The sequence below is a fragment of the Homo sapiens genome, chromosome 2 (assembly GCF_000001405.40).
Source record: "Homo sapiens chromosome 2, GRCh38.p14 Primary Assembly".
In the NCBI taxonomy this organism is placed as follows: domain Eukaryota; kingdom Metazoa; phylum Chordata; class Mammalia; order Primates; family Hominidae; genus Homo; species Homo sapiens.
This window is the reverse complement of record NC_000002.12, coordinates 72,977,710-72,991,518: the sequence shown is the minus strand read 5'-3', so window position 1 is coordinate 72,991,518 and position 13,809 is coordinate 72,977,710. Positions and strand designations below refer to the sequence as shown.

The following is a 13,809-nucleotide window of genomic DNA, read 5'->3' as shown; positions in this document are numbered from 1 at the left end:
GCCCTCCCTGCCACTGGGCCCATCACTGGCAAGTGGGCACTGTGACCTCACTGACTCCTCATGAGCTCACAGCTACACACATGCCCAGGTCTCCTCCCTACTTTGCTGGTCCCCAGCCCCTTTCTTGGGCGCAGGCACGTTGGCCATGCTCTCAGAAACATATGTGTGCCGCACTATATGTCACCCCATCCATGCTGGGAGACCCTGGTGACTTTCAGGGAAGGAGAGGCCAGAAGAAACCTGGGACGAGGACACTGTTTTCTCTCTTCGTTCTTCCTCCCTACACTCTGGGCTGTGCCAGGCCTAGCCAGTGGGAAGAATGGCCGACCAGGGAGGGGGAGGCTTTGGAGAGGGGGAGGGAAATGTGATGGTCACCTTTCCTCCTTTCCCTCCCGCTGCTCTCCAGCCCTGCCTACCCCCAAGAGGCTGTCATGGGGAAGGGTCCCAGCCTCTCTGCTCACTTCCGTGAATGGCTCCTGTTCCCCGCCTCTTCCAGCACTTCCTATATCTTCTTAAATTGTCAAGCAGGATTTTGAACCCAGATCTTCTGACTTCTGGCTGCTGGGGGCAGGGATGGTTCAAGGGCCCTATCTTCCCTGCAGGAGCTGCCTTCTGTTTTCCACTCGTTAGGACCCCAGCCCCAAGGTGGCCATTGTCAGGGAGGTGCTTGCTATGCAGATGTGCCGTTCAAACGCCTGGAGATATTAAAGCATCCCTCCCTCAGGTGGAAGACAATGGGAAAGTCATAGCACCCTGGTTAGGAGCAAGGCTTTGGAATTAGCAGGCCCTGCGTTCAAATGCTAGCTTTACTTGCCTCATAATAGATGTCTATCCTTGAGCAAAGTTGTTTAACCTCTCTGGACCTGTCTCTATCTGTGAAAAGGGCCAACATGGTCTATCTAAAAGCCTTGTTGTGGGGATCTCATTAAGATATTTCATGTGAATATGTGCTGAGTGGCCTCACGTAGGAAGTGCTCACTGAGTTCTCCCGAGCCCCCCTCCTCTTCATTGCTACTGCCCGTCTGCGTGTCCTCCAGCTTCCTCCCACACTTTCTCTCAATGCACTTTTTTGGGGGTGAGGGAGGCCATTTCTGAGTCACTCGCTCCTGGACTTGATGAATTCTATTCATGTGGCGGGGGCAGCAGGGCCCAGTATGAGCCGGCAGCTCCCCAGCCCTGCCCACTGTACCACTGAAGTGTGTCCACGCCGTGATGCCCCTGGCTGCCTCCCAGCCTTCCCTCGAGCGAGCTGGGAGGACAAGGATTGGACTCTGAGGATCAGCCTGAGACTTAAGATGGAGGCTGTGTTCCCGAGAGCCCAGGGTGGGCATGCCAGGAAGTACTCTGGCTCCACGGAATGCTGCGCTGCCCCGGGGCTGGCGGACCAGCACTTCCTTGTCTTCCTGGGTCTCACAGTCGCAGCCTGGGCTGGGCTGTTTCTGCCTTGCTGCACCCTGCCCCAACAGCGGCAGGCGCCTGGCAGCCCTGGAGGCCTTCCCAAGGCTCTGCGTCCTCCCCAACCACCCACAACATTAAGGCCAGAGCCAGGCCTGAGGGCACAGGGTGGGCTGCTGAGCCGCCAGGCGTGCCAGACCTCAGAGCAGGCTGCCCCGGCCCGTCAGGCCAGGAGTCCTGCCACGGCTCCTCCCACGCTTCCCAGAAAAGACAGCACAGGGGCTGGCTTTGGCCTCTGTCTGGGGAAGCAGAGGCCTCTGCAACCCAACTCCTTTTCTGGTTTCATGCATCTTGTCTTTTCTCTCTCCAGGCCTGCACTTGTATGCATTTCTCCACCAGAAAGTCCTTTTCCTCTGCCTAGCCCAACCCCATCTTTCTCTCCTCCGCAAAGCCCCACTCCCAGCCTTTGCCTTTTCCATGCCGTCGTATGTTTGTTGGTTCCTGCATTTATTCCTCAGTCACCAGTTTATTGAGCGTGTACTATGTGCCAGTGAGTGTAGCCCTAAGTGGTGGACATACAAAGATGAAAAAGGTGCAGTCACCCCATCCGGTCCCGTGACATCATGATTATATAGCTTCATTTATTGAGGTCTCTTATATGCCAAGCTCACACCCACCACTTACATACATTCTTATACCAGCCCTGGGGTGTTGTAGGTATTACTATCCCTTTTTACAGATAGGTAAACTGAGACAGAGAAAGATGAAATGACTTACCTGCCTCAGGTCCCACTGCTAGTAAGTGACACTGGAGGTGGAACTCATGGGTGGGCCTGAAAGAACAGGTGTGAACTGAGCGGAGGAGGGAGGCATCCCAGGCACAGGGACCAGCACTGCAAAGGCCCCATGGCTGGAAGGCTCACGGAGGATCTGATGGGCAGCAAACTGGACTCTCGGGGTTGAACTTGGGTTTTTGGGGGAGAGGGGAAGTGAGGTTATGGAGGCCAAGGCTGCTGTGGGAAGGAGATGACACTTTCTCAGACACGTTGGTCATAGAGAGGAGCTGGTGTGGCACACATGAGAAAGCCTGTGCTCTCGAAAGATGAAAGAGCCTAGGAGATGGACTGGAGTGACGAAGACCCCAGGCAGGGGCTGGGGTGGGGTGTCTGGCATCCTGGGCCAGGTGACAGGTATGAAGGCGATGACAGTGAGTCCAGGACATCCGCCTCACCCTCCATCCTGCCCTGAGCTATGCTGCTTAGTCCTGCAGCCTGTGGGCAGGTGTCGGGGTCTCCCTGTCCTGAGCCCTTATGGTCTGGCTGGGCCCACACCTGCATGTACCATGGGGTTTCAGAAAGATGGTGCTTAGGGCTGGGGTGGGAATGAGGCCTTCCTACACTTCATTTATTCATGGAGTATGTATTCTTCTACGAGCAACTGCCACAGCATCCTATCCCTTTTCTCCTCTGCAGTGTGTGTGTATGAGTGTGTAAATGTGTGTGTATGTGTGTGTGTGTGTGTATGTCTCTGATGCTTTACCTCTCTCCCTCTTTCTCATGGGCCAGTTACCTGGGATGACTGGGCAGTGGTACTTTAAGCAGCGACGCTGGAGCTCTGCAACCTCAGGTGACGCTGAGGATTAGGGGTGTGAGGTGCAGTTGTGGGGAAAGATGACATCCCTCACTCTCTGATGTTCCTCCAGTTCTGCCCCCTCCTCCCACAAGCCACTGCAGCATCATGTACTTTTTCTGTGTTTTTATTTTTTTCTTTCAAAGGTGGGCCTTAATGTCCTGGTTCAGAAAGCCAACAAGTTCACCCCAGCCACCCGCCTTCTCATCCAGAGGTTTGTGCCGTTCCCTGCTGTAGGTAAGACCTGCACACCACATAGATGTGTGCTGTGGGTGGGTGTGGGGGACCGCTGGGCTCCCAGGGAGACAGATGACCCTTCCACACCTCTCCTGATGCCCAGGGGGCACCCAGCTGGGAGAATTGGTGTAATATGTTTAGCTAAAAGACAAGACCATGGGGTCCCACTGACCAGCTCTGTGCTGAGATTCTGCTTTCAGCATAGGGGTTCTTAGGCTGCAGTCCCAGACCCCCAAGGGGTCAGTAGACAGAATGCAGCGGATCCTGTGAGCTTGGTCAGGGAAAAGATTTACATTAACCTCTAACTGCATTTTAACATTTCCTTCCGTTACGAATGCAGGCAGCAAACCACAGTCAGAAGCAGGACCTGTGACTTTGTCACCAGTAGAAATCACAGATGTTTTCATGGCACATTACAGTTGTTACAGAGGTCTTAAAATATTATTTATGCTCAACACTAATTCATATTTTCTTTCTTTTTTCTTTTTCTTTGTTTTTCTTTGAGTCAGAGTTTCACTCTTGTCACTCAGGCTGGAGTATGGTGGTGCAATCTCGGCTCACTGCAACCTCCACCTCCCAGCTTCAAGCAATTCTCCTGCCTCAGGCTCCCAAGTAGCTGGGATTACAGGCATGCGCCACCATGCCCATCTAATTTTGCATTTTTAGTAGAGATGGGGTTTCACCATGTTGGCCAGGCTGGTCTCGAACTCCTAACCTCATGATCCACCTGCCTCACCCTCCCAAAGTGCTGGGATTACAGACGTGAGCCACCATGCCCGGTCACTAATTCATATTTAATACATCAACTGATAGATCTTGTTTTTAATTCATTAGTTAAAAAGCACATCTAGGCTGGGTGTGGTAGCTCATGCCTGTAATCCCAGCACTTTGGGAGGCCGAGGTAGGCGGATCATGAGGTCAGGAGATCAAGACCATCCTTGCCAACATGGTGAAACCCCATCTCTACTAAACATAGAAAAATTAGCTGGGTGTGGTGGTGCATGCCTGTAATCCCAGCTACTCAGGCCGAGGCAGGAGAATGGCTTGAACCAGGGAGTTGGAGGTTGCAGTGAGCCAAGATCACGCACTCCAGCCTGGTGACAGAGTGAGACTCCGTCTCAAAAACAAAACAAAACAAAAAAAACCCCAAAAAACATCTATTACTATATCACAATATTTTGGTAATTTCAGGATGATCCCTTTGTGATCCTATGTGTTTTGTTTTATGCATTTAGAAACATTATTCTGAGAGGGGTCCATAGGCCTCACTAGACTACCAGAGTGGTTCGTGGTACAAAAGAAGCCTGCAAGCTTCTGCTAGTCTAGGTTTCAAGCCTTTGGGTATTGTGAGCCTCTAGGTTTCAGAGGCCTTGGCTCTACGCAGGTGATTGTGGGCGCACAGGTATATGTGGAGGGGATTTCAGCTGCGTCTTTGCTGAACTTGGAGTCTATGAGCTCACCATAGATGCCCCAGGCTGGGGCCCTGGAGATGCCACAAAACTCTGCTTGGCCCTTAAGAAGCCTACACCTTGTTTGGGGAGAAGGGCAAAATAGTGGAAGGAGTTTTTAAAACTAAAAAGAAATAAACAGTATTGAGAGCAGTGTAAGGCAGTGCATAGCTGTCAAAAGAGAAGGATAAACCAGTCCTTGAACCATAACAGCAGAGCTCCCCATCTGTGCCAAAGGACAACGATGGGGACAGGCCAGCACAGGGCATGAGGACTCGTGACCTCTGTGGTACCAAGGCACCATCTGAAGAGCTGGAGTCAGACCCAGGCTCATGGTCCTGACCCTGATCGTCATCTACAGGGCCCTGCTTCTCCATCTGTAAAAGGCGGGTACCAGTACCCACCTTCCTACAGCCCAGAGCTCTGGGAGGAGCAAGTGAGGCCACAAACCAGTTTCCACTGAGAGGAGGGTGCTTTGAAGCACCTGCAAAGCCCTGTGAGAGGGTGAGAGGTCATTGCTGGGCAGCCCCACCTCTGGATGACCCAGAGACTAATGAATTCCGAGAACCAGCCACCTGGCTCAGCCTCAGCCAGCCCAGATAATTGCTATAGCAACTCCACACTTTTAATGAACTTTCAGCTATTTCTGTCGTGGGCCATTAATGGAATAACCCTTTAGATCTGACTTCGTTAAGGGGCCTAATAAAGCAAACACGGCTGCCCAACTGGTGTTCCCGGCCATTCAGCTGCAGGGTCAGATGCAGCCTGAGAAGGGGCAGCGCTCTGCTGCACTGGGCTGGATCTGGGATTCGGCCAAGATGTAATCTGTCCCTAGCCAAGCTTTAGATAAGAACTTTGCCGGGGGCCCATTCCAGCCCTACTGGCCATCTTGCTGTGTCACCTTGAGGTGGTCTTAACCTCTCTGGGACTCTTTCAGGAGGAGAGTCCCTGCTTTGGGTCTGAGACTTTCTGACCTGCCCCTCTTCAGACTCCAGTGTAATTCCCCTCCCCTCTTCTTTTTGGGAATGAGGCTTCAGCCGCTCACACAGGTGCAGCCACTGTTGTCTTGAGATCCTGAACATCCCTCACGGGTTGCATAATGTGGTTTAAGCCCTGACAGTCCTTGCTTGCGGGATCCAGGGAGAGGCAGGCCCTTTGTGGCTTCTTCCTCTGGCCTGGCTGCTGAGTCCTGGCTGGGTACCTGCCTGCCTTCTGCCCCAGCCCCAGTCTCCCCTCCCACCCCCCCACAGGCTTCCATCTCTCTAGTCCCTATGTCCATCGCTCTCATCTGCAAGTGGACACTTGCGGACTGCCCTAGTCCATGCTGACACAGTTTTGAGATGATTAGGTGTGGCCCTTTCCCACCAGGGACTCAAAAGCCCCCTGGTCCTCTCAGGCCACCGTCCAGTCCCTGTACTTGGCCTCTCTTCACCTTATCCCCAGGTACCCCTGGCCAGAGTATCCCTAAGCTGCACCAGGTGCTGGCAGGGCCTAGGTCCTGCCCGGGGTTCACTGCAGGTCTCCGAGGTAGGCTAGGCCAGACCTGGCTGGGCCACTGTTAAAGGTGACCAAGAAGCTGGCTCAGGCTGTGCTTGACCTTGTGGAGGGTCCCCTGTCCCTTTAGGCTGCTTGCAGAGACAGGACTCACTGAGCAGTGACTGCACATGGGAAGGAGGTTGGGGAAAGTGGCAGTGATCATATTTAAGCTCTGTTGTTGGGATGTGAGTGGAGTGGAAGGGGGTCTTCAGGGTGATGGGGGTCCTGAAGAGGCTTGTGCCCTGTGGTCAGAGGCCGCATCCAGGCTCTCACACTTCTGAGCAGGTTGGGAACTCAAGCTCTGGGGAACAAGGAATCCCCAAGAGTCAGTTTCTTCTTCCCAAGGCTCTGCCAGCTCCTCTGCAGGCCCCAGCCTGAAGCCTGGGAGGTGGGCTACACACTGCCTAAGAGTGGCCTGAGACACACGCACCTGGACCCCACACCAAACTCCACCATTCCCACCCCATTCTACCCGCTGTCTCCTCATCTGGAAACGAGGCCTCTGACGAGACCCTCCTTCAGCCCCTTCCCACCAGGACCTCTGTGACTGCAGGCCTCCTTGAGGTTTGCAGAGCTCCTGGGGGCTGCACGGCTCCCCTCATATTCCCTAGCAAGCCTCTCTCCTCCCTCGGTTCTCCTCATTCTGTGCTGGGAGGGTCCGAAGGCAGAGCAAGCCATCACCCTCTTACAGAAGAATGAACAAAGTCAGACTTGCTAAAAGTGATACTGAGCTGGCCAGAGCCCAGGCCTCCCAGGCCTCCCAGGCCCAGCCCAGGGCTATTTCAAGCCCTGTGAGATAACCCCTCACCCATATAGCTGAGAAACTGAGCAGTGTGGCCTGGAGGCAGCCAAGGCTACGCGGTGTCCTCCCTGTTCTGCCTCCAAGTTCCCCCCTAGTTTTTCAGAGTGTGTGTGTGCACACGCCTGTGTCACGTGACTGATGCATGTGCAGGCACATGTGCTGAGTATGTGGGAAGCCCTGGGATGCTCACTGCAGCCATTTCTCTCCCCTTGGAGAGAGGTGGTTTCAGGGCCATGCTGTGTCCCTGGTCTAGAACAGCAATCGTGTGGGAGATCTCAGTTTCTATTTATACATGGAGATGTTAGGAAAGACAGTGAGCCCAGGAGCATGTGTGCTGGCATCGGAATCGATTGGGGACTGGTAATTAATTTGCTTAGACCTTAATTAATTCTCCAGTTCTTTCTTATTTGTGGACTGTCACGCCTAATTGTGTTCAGGAGCTCAAGCTCGGAGCGGGCCCTCCGTTAATTGACGTATGGTTGCTGCCAGGTGAAGTTAATGGTTTGGGAAGCTGGGCAAACAGTGTAATTAAAGGTCAGTAGAGGAGGCATTGGAAAAATACACACCCCCAGCTCTAGCCACCAGTCTCTGTGAGCAGAGTCTGTTCCAGGGGTTGCCGGCCCCACAGGCTTCTCAAGGGGCCTTGGAGGAGGGGTACCAGGAGCAGTTACCAGCAGGAAGGAGGGCCAAGTCCTGGGTCCCAGAGGTGGCAGTGGCCAGGGGAATAGACATCTCGTTGACAGCAATGGGTGGGGCAGGGGCCTTAGGGAGGTGGAGACAGAGGTGTTGTCTCAGCAAGCACATCTATAAAGCTGGCCCTCTGGACTCCGGGTAGGTGTGTGCATGGGGAGGGCAGGAAGCCCTGAAGGTCACCCCAGGCTGCCTGGCTGCATCCACTCAGAGCAGGGAACAGGCAGTGAGTGTCATGTGCTCATCAAGACCCCCAGCTAGGCCCTGAGCTCCTCATGAGGAAGGCCTGAGCTTTGGCATCAGCCAGCTGCTCCTTCCAAGGAGAACAAGCTTCCTGCAGGCACCGGAAATGCCAGCCTCAGCAGCTCCTTGCTGAGAAATGACTTCTTCCTGTGCCGTCCCCAGCAGTCTCCTATGTTAAATGTCAGGATTTATTTTATTGCCATGAAAAGATCTCGGTGTTAACCAATGAGTCCGTTGCCCAGGGTGTCCTGGCACTATTTGGGAGAAGGTCTTCTGTTCATTCACAGGTGTGGCAAACCTGTTCCCTGACGTCCATGCCCCCTTCTCCCCAAGGCCACACGGGTCTTCATGTCATTGAACCCCTCTTTGCTCCACTGCTCCCCCTTTGTGCTCAGTCCACCCTGCTTCCTCCGTCTAGGAGTGGCCATGGCAGTGCTGCCCAAGTCTGGAGGGCCTACCCCCAGGTCAGAGCACAGCTCCCCAGGCCTCATCCCCTGTGAGCAGGAGGCAGCAGTGTGCACCTGTGGCAGCTTGTCCTGGGCCCTGTGACATCAAGGTCCATCCATCAAGGTCAGTGGTGCTTCACGTGGCATTCATGCCCTTCAGGCACCTCTGGATGCCATGAGTCCCTTCTTTGACCTGGCCTGCTCTTGCCTCTCCTGTGCCCCACTGCAGCCCTGGAGAACGCTGCCGTCCTCCTCTCCTCCCTCTTGCCGGGCCCCAGGCCTTTGCATGTGGCCCTGATGTCTGGATACCTGCTCTTCCCACTACCTCAAGCACCCTCTGCCCTCCCTCGACTACCAGGCCTTTGTGACTCTGCTCAAACACCATCTCCTCTTGGAAGCCCTCGCTGGGAGTCCCAGCCAGGGTTAGATGGCAGCTACCTGTGTGTGCCGATGTCTATCTGGGGACTGCCCGTGTTGTTTCCAAGCCTGCCTCCCCCATTAGACATTGAGTGCCCCAAGGCAGGGACTGGATCTCATCTACCACCACACTCAGCCCCCTCGGTGCCTGGCACACAGTCAGTGCTCAATGTGGGTTTATTCAATGATCAAATGAGTGCTTTGGCACAAAAGGTTTGAGATGAGTCACTCGTGGCAGAACCTCACCCTGATGACAGTGGTGGCCAGATTCTGTAGCTACCTGGACATTTATTCTGGACCTTTTCCACTTTTTAAAGTTGTTTTGGAGTGCTCTGTTTTCTTGTTTACATTTTTACCATCACTGTGGTCCACTCTTAGTCAGCAGGCCTAGGGTGGATGACCAATGGGCCCACCCCTTTCCAGATCATCCTGGGCACATTATCCAACCCTTCCAGGCCATTATGGCCCCGTCTATAAAATGGATACTAGTATCTCTAAGCAAAGTTTTCATGGGGATTGAACATGTCAATTTCCCAGCGTAGCATGAGCACCTACTAAATGTTGATCCTCTTCCAGCTCCACTCTGTTCCTCCTGCCCCAATCAGGGGTGGCACATTCCTGCCATCAGGGAACTTGTTCTTTGGGGGTAAGAGGTGGTTAGATGTTCAAAATGGCACGCACACACACACACACACACACACACACACACAAAGTTCCAGTGATAAGGGCAATAAAGTTTTATAGAGGATGAAACCCATTCGATAATCTCTCTAAATCACCTTCCATCACCTCTACGATTTTAGGAATCTAATATGAACTGAATTATGTACGGAAATGGTGTTTGTTGAGAAAAGGGCGGGGATAATTAGATCATGTTATCAAAGGAATATGTGGGCGTGGTGCTGTGGATTTTGAGGAGCCATGGAAGGTTGGGCTGGGCTGGGTGCCAGAATTGGTGGCAGCCTCAGAACTGGCATGGGCCCCTGCTGTGTGTCAGGCCCCAAGAGGACACAGGCAGTGGGTCCAAGGCAGCCAGAGGAAAGTGTCTAGTGTCCCAGGGCTCTGTCTTCAGTTTCATTCCCTTCAGTTATTTTGATGCCTTGGATGGAGGAGGCCTGTGGCTCATATTCAAAAAACAGGGACACCAACCTGGCAGGGATTGTGAATTCATGGGCAAGAGCACCAGGATCTAAAAAGATCCATCGAGGTGGGCCGATGAGATCTCACAAGGTTTGATGTAAGCCTTGCTGTTCAAAAAATGTAGGTGCACAAGTGTGAGGGTGTCAAGACCTGACTTGGCTGAAGTTCTCAAGACAGAGACCCGGGGGTCTCGTGTGCCGTGTGCTCAGAATGGGTCCCTGGTGTGGTGTGTGCCTCTGATGATGCTCACTCAGATTTCAGCTGCATTACTAAAGATAGAACACCAAGAACAAAGGAGTCTGTTTAATTCTGGCTGTACACGTCAAGAGTAGCTCTGATAAGTGGTAACGCCATAAGAGTGACAGGATCTTCTGAAAAAAATGAGAGCCTGTTATTGGAATGAGCTGCCTGACTCCTGGATTTGAGGGAAATGTCTGATTAGTAGACAGGCCCCAGAAGCTGTGAGGGGCACTCGCACGCGACCAAGGCACCTGTTTCCAAGCAGCTTGCTCAGGATCTGGCATACCGTAGGTGCTCCATAAGTGCTTGTTGCGTAAATGGCCTTCCAGTTCTGGGGTTTTATAATTCCTGAAATCCAGAAGGTAGAGAAGCCCAGAGGCAGAGAAAGTGGGGAGGTGTAATGCAGAGGGAGGGAGGGGCTATGCAGGAGGGGAATGCAGGAGGGGGCAGGGGGCCTGGCTGGGCTGGCCTGGCCTGCTGGGGAACAGAGGAGGGCATGTTGTCGCTATGAGTGTTAGCTTGGGGTTTGAGCTTTATCTTTGGTTGATGAGGAACCATTGAAGAATCTCAAGCTAAGAGGCAGCTGTGATAAAAAGGGGCTTTTTAAAAAGATGGATGTGTTAGCAGGAATCACATTAAGAGATTCCAAACTTCCGAGTCAGCCTACACCTAGACTTACAGGCTGATTTTTCAATCCAGAAATTCCCGATCCTGAGTCGGTGACACTTCAATATGGGTTGTGAAACTCTCCCCAAATTCTCAAGCTACTTAAGAGAAAATTTGTGCTGCTTACTTAGCACTGCCTCTCAGGTGGAATAATGGGGATTTTTGTGAAATCAAGCAAATATGAGGGCATGCATCCTTATTTGATAATCATCACTGTCTTAAAGGCAGAGGGGTTGTATTCTGCTGTGATTCGAGTGTGAGAGAGAGAGTATGTGTGAGTGTGTAAAGGTGGTAATATGCCTACATGTATATACATAGACCTTCCCGGGCAGGGACATGAGAACCTGGCTATAGTGGTTGCCTCTGGGGAGGGGGTAAAGTTTAGGGTTGGGAAGGAGACTTACTTTTTATTATTTCCCCTTTTACACCATTTGAATCATTGACTGTGTTGCCCACAACGGTGGAAGGAAGGAAGAGAGGGAGGGAGGAGAGAAGAGAGAAGAGGGGAGGGGAGGCCAGCATTACCTCCCACTTCTTGCAGAAGAGGAAGTGGAATATGGAAGTACTTAGTCCAACATCAGTCTTGAGCCAGAATAGCAGCTGAAGTCTCATGCTTGCTACTAGAGTGCTTGTTTGTTCGTTTTAATGAAAATGGCTCTATTTCTTTCTGATAATACATAATAGAATAAGCAATCCTACTTCTCTCTCCCGAGTCATTTAGTATATATCCCTCCAAATTCAAGTTAACATCTAAAAGTATATGAATCTCTGCCTATTATATCTATATGTAGTGTATAAATATGTCTATATAAATGTAACTTAATACAAATGGGTTCATATATAGATATATATATACTATTCTGTAAACTGCTTTTTAACCTCACAGTCAATTTTAGATGTCTTTCCATGGCAGTCATAAAATTGTAACTTCTCCTTAATAGCCACAGTAGTTTGTTCCATGGCTATTTTTAAATGATTTCTTTATTTATTTATTTATAGACGGAGTCTTGCTCTGTCACCCAGGCTGGAGTGCAGTGGCATGATCTCGGCTCACTGCAACCTCCGCCTCCTGGGTTCAAGCAATTCTTCTGTCTTGGCCTCCCAAGTAGCTGGGATTACAGGTGCATGCCACCATGCCTGGCTAATTTTTGTGTTTTTAGTAGAGACAGGGTTTCGCCATGTTGACCAGGCTGGTCTTGAACTCCTGACCTCAGGTGATCCACCCGCCTTGGCCTCTCAAAGTGCTGGGATTACAGGCATGAGCCACTGCACTCGGCCTGTTTTTTTAATTATGAAATTTTTCTATTAACATAGAAAATTGAAGAAATAGAGAAAGAGAACGTTAGATACACTCAAAGCCCTCTGCCTTCTTGATTCTGGTTTCTTTCTCTCCCCACAGAAGGCACCGACCTGGAGTTAGTGTATGCTTACCATTTAGGTTTTATATTTTAGCATATGTGCATGTACCATAAGCCATCAATTGTATTGTTCATGAATTTTTCAAAATTTATATTAACTGTACCATACTGTACATATCCTTTTGAAACTTGCCTTTCATTGTGGTTTTGAAATTTATTTATGTTAATACATATACATTCATTTCAGCTGCCATAGGCATTCGTACTGTGTGGCTATCCACAGGTGATTAATTGGGGACATTTAGGTTGTTTTCAGTCTCTCATTATTATACAGTCCTGCTCTAAACAACCTTGTGCTCTAAACAGCTCATGTGCACATGAGTAAGAGTTTCTCCTGGGCAAAAGTTTTCAAACCTTCATCTGTATTATAATCACCTGGGGAATTTAAAAAAAAAACAGATCTGGGCCCTACCTCAGCTTTGGTTTCACTTGTGCTGGGAATCGCCAGGCTAGCGTGTGTACCCAGACATGGAATGGACACATTAGAGGGTACATACGTTTCTAGCTTTATTAAATATTGCCAGGTGGGCATACGGGCATTTACCCAACCTGCAGGGTCTGAATTTTTGTTTCCCTACATCCTCTTCAATATTTGATATTATCAATCTCTTAAAATTTTTGTTCATCTGGGCCGGGCGTGGTGGCTCACACCTGTAATCCCAGCACTTTGAGAGGCTGAGGCGAGTGGATCACCTGAGGTCAGGAGTTCAAGACCAGCTTAGCCAACATGGTGAAAACCCATCTCTACTAAAAATACAAAAATTAGCTGGGCATGGTGGTGGGCGCCTGTAATTGCAGCTACTTGGGAGGCTGAGGCAGGAGAATCGCTTGAACCCGGGAGGCAGAGGTTGCAGTGAGCCGAGATTGTGCCACTGCACTCCAGCCTGGGTGTCAGAGTGAGACTCCATCTCAAAAAAAAAAAAAAAGAAAGAAAAAGAAAAATGCGTTCATCTGAACTGGTTTATTTCTCATTTTAATTTGCATTTTTCCAATTCCCAGTATAGTTGGGAACCTTTTCTTAACTTTATTGGACATTTGGGTTTCCAAACAGAAGAGAGAGCAAGAGGATATCCTTATTTCATACCATCCACAAAAAAAAATTCTAGATAGATTGAAGGCCTAAATGTGATAAGTAAAAAATTAAAACCTTTGGAAGAAAATATAGATGAACACTGGAGTAGGGTTAGAGTTTCTTTTTTTTTTTTTTCCTTATTCTTTCTTTCTTTTTTTTTTTTTTCTGAGGCAGAGTCTCTCTCTGTTGCCCAGGCTGGAGTGCAGTGGTGCAATCTTGGCTCACTGCAGTCTCCGCCTCCTGGTTCAAGTGATTCTCTTGCCTCAGCCTCCTGAGTAGCTAGGACTACAGGCGTGTGCCACCATGCCCGACTAATTTTTGTATTTTAGTAGAGATGGGGTTTCTCCATGTTGGGCAGGTTGATCTCAAACTCCTGACCTCAAGTGATCCACTCACATCGGCCTCCCAAAGTGCTGGGATTACAGGAGTG

At 50.7% G+C, this 13,809-nt stretch overlaps 1 protein-coding gene across 21 annotated transcripts in view, besides 2 other annotated features; it reads left to right on the top strand.

The window, feature by feature from the left end:
- SFXN5 (sideroflexin 5) overlaps positions 1-13,809 on the top strand; it is a 129,677-nt gene that overhangs the window by 80,194 nt on the left and 35,674 nt on the right. For 18 of the 21 annotated variants that reach the window (NR_138476.2, NM_001371739.1, NM_001371738.1 and 15 more), the window contains one exon: positions 3,171-3,261. The exons of 1 other annotated variant lie outside the window; for it this stretch is intronic. Coding sequence is in view for 19 of the 20 variants with exons in the window: in NM_001371739.1 (NP_001358668.1) it covers positions 3,171-3,261 (91 nt within the window). In the remaining variant the exon portion in view is untranslated. The remainder of the gene's footprint in view (positions 1-3,170; positions 3,262-13,809) is intronic. 2 more of the 21 variants (NM_001330412.2, NM_001330411.2) reach the window with 1 other exon arrangement.
- Positions 2,220-2,419: a silencer, noted in NCBI's record as "fragment chr2:73216229-73216428 (GRCh37/hg19 assembly coordinates)". NCBI's record gives its function as "represses an EF-1alpha promoter that drives an FKBP-Casp9 reporter gene in an ReSE screen in HepG2 liver carcinoma cells {active_cell/tissue: HepG2}" and the evidence as "EXISTENCE:reporter gene assay evidence [ECO:0000049][PMID:32094911]".
- Positions 8,530-9,030: an enhancer, noted in NCBI's record as "H3K4me1 hESC enhancer chr2:73209618-73210118 (GRCh37/hg19 assembly coordinates)". NCBI's record gives its function as "activates a minimal SCP1, AML or CMV promoter by ChIP-STARR-seq in naive H9 embryonic stem cells {active_cell/tissue: H9 hESC(naive)}" and the evidence as "EXISTENCE:reporter gene assay evidence [ECO:0000049][PMID:30033119]".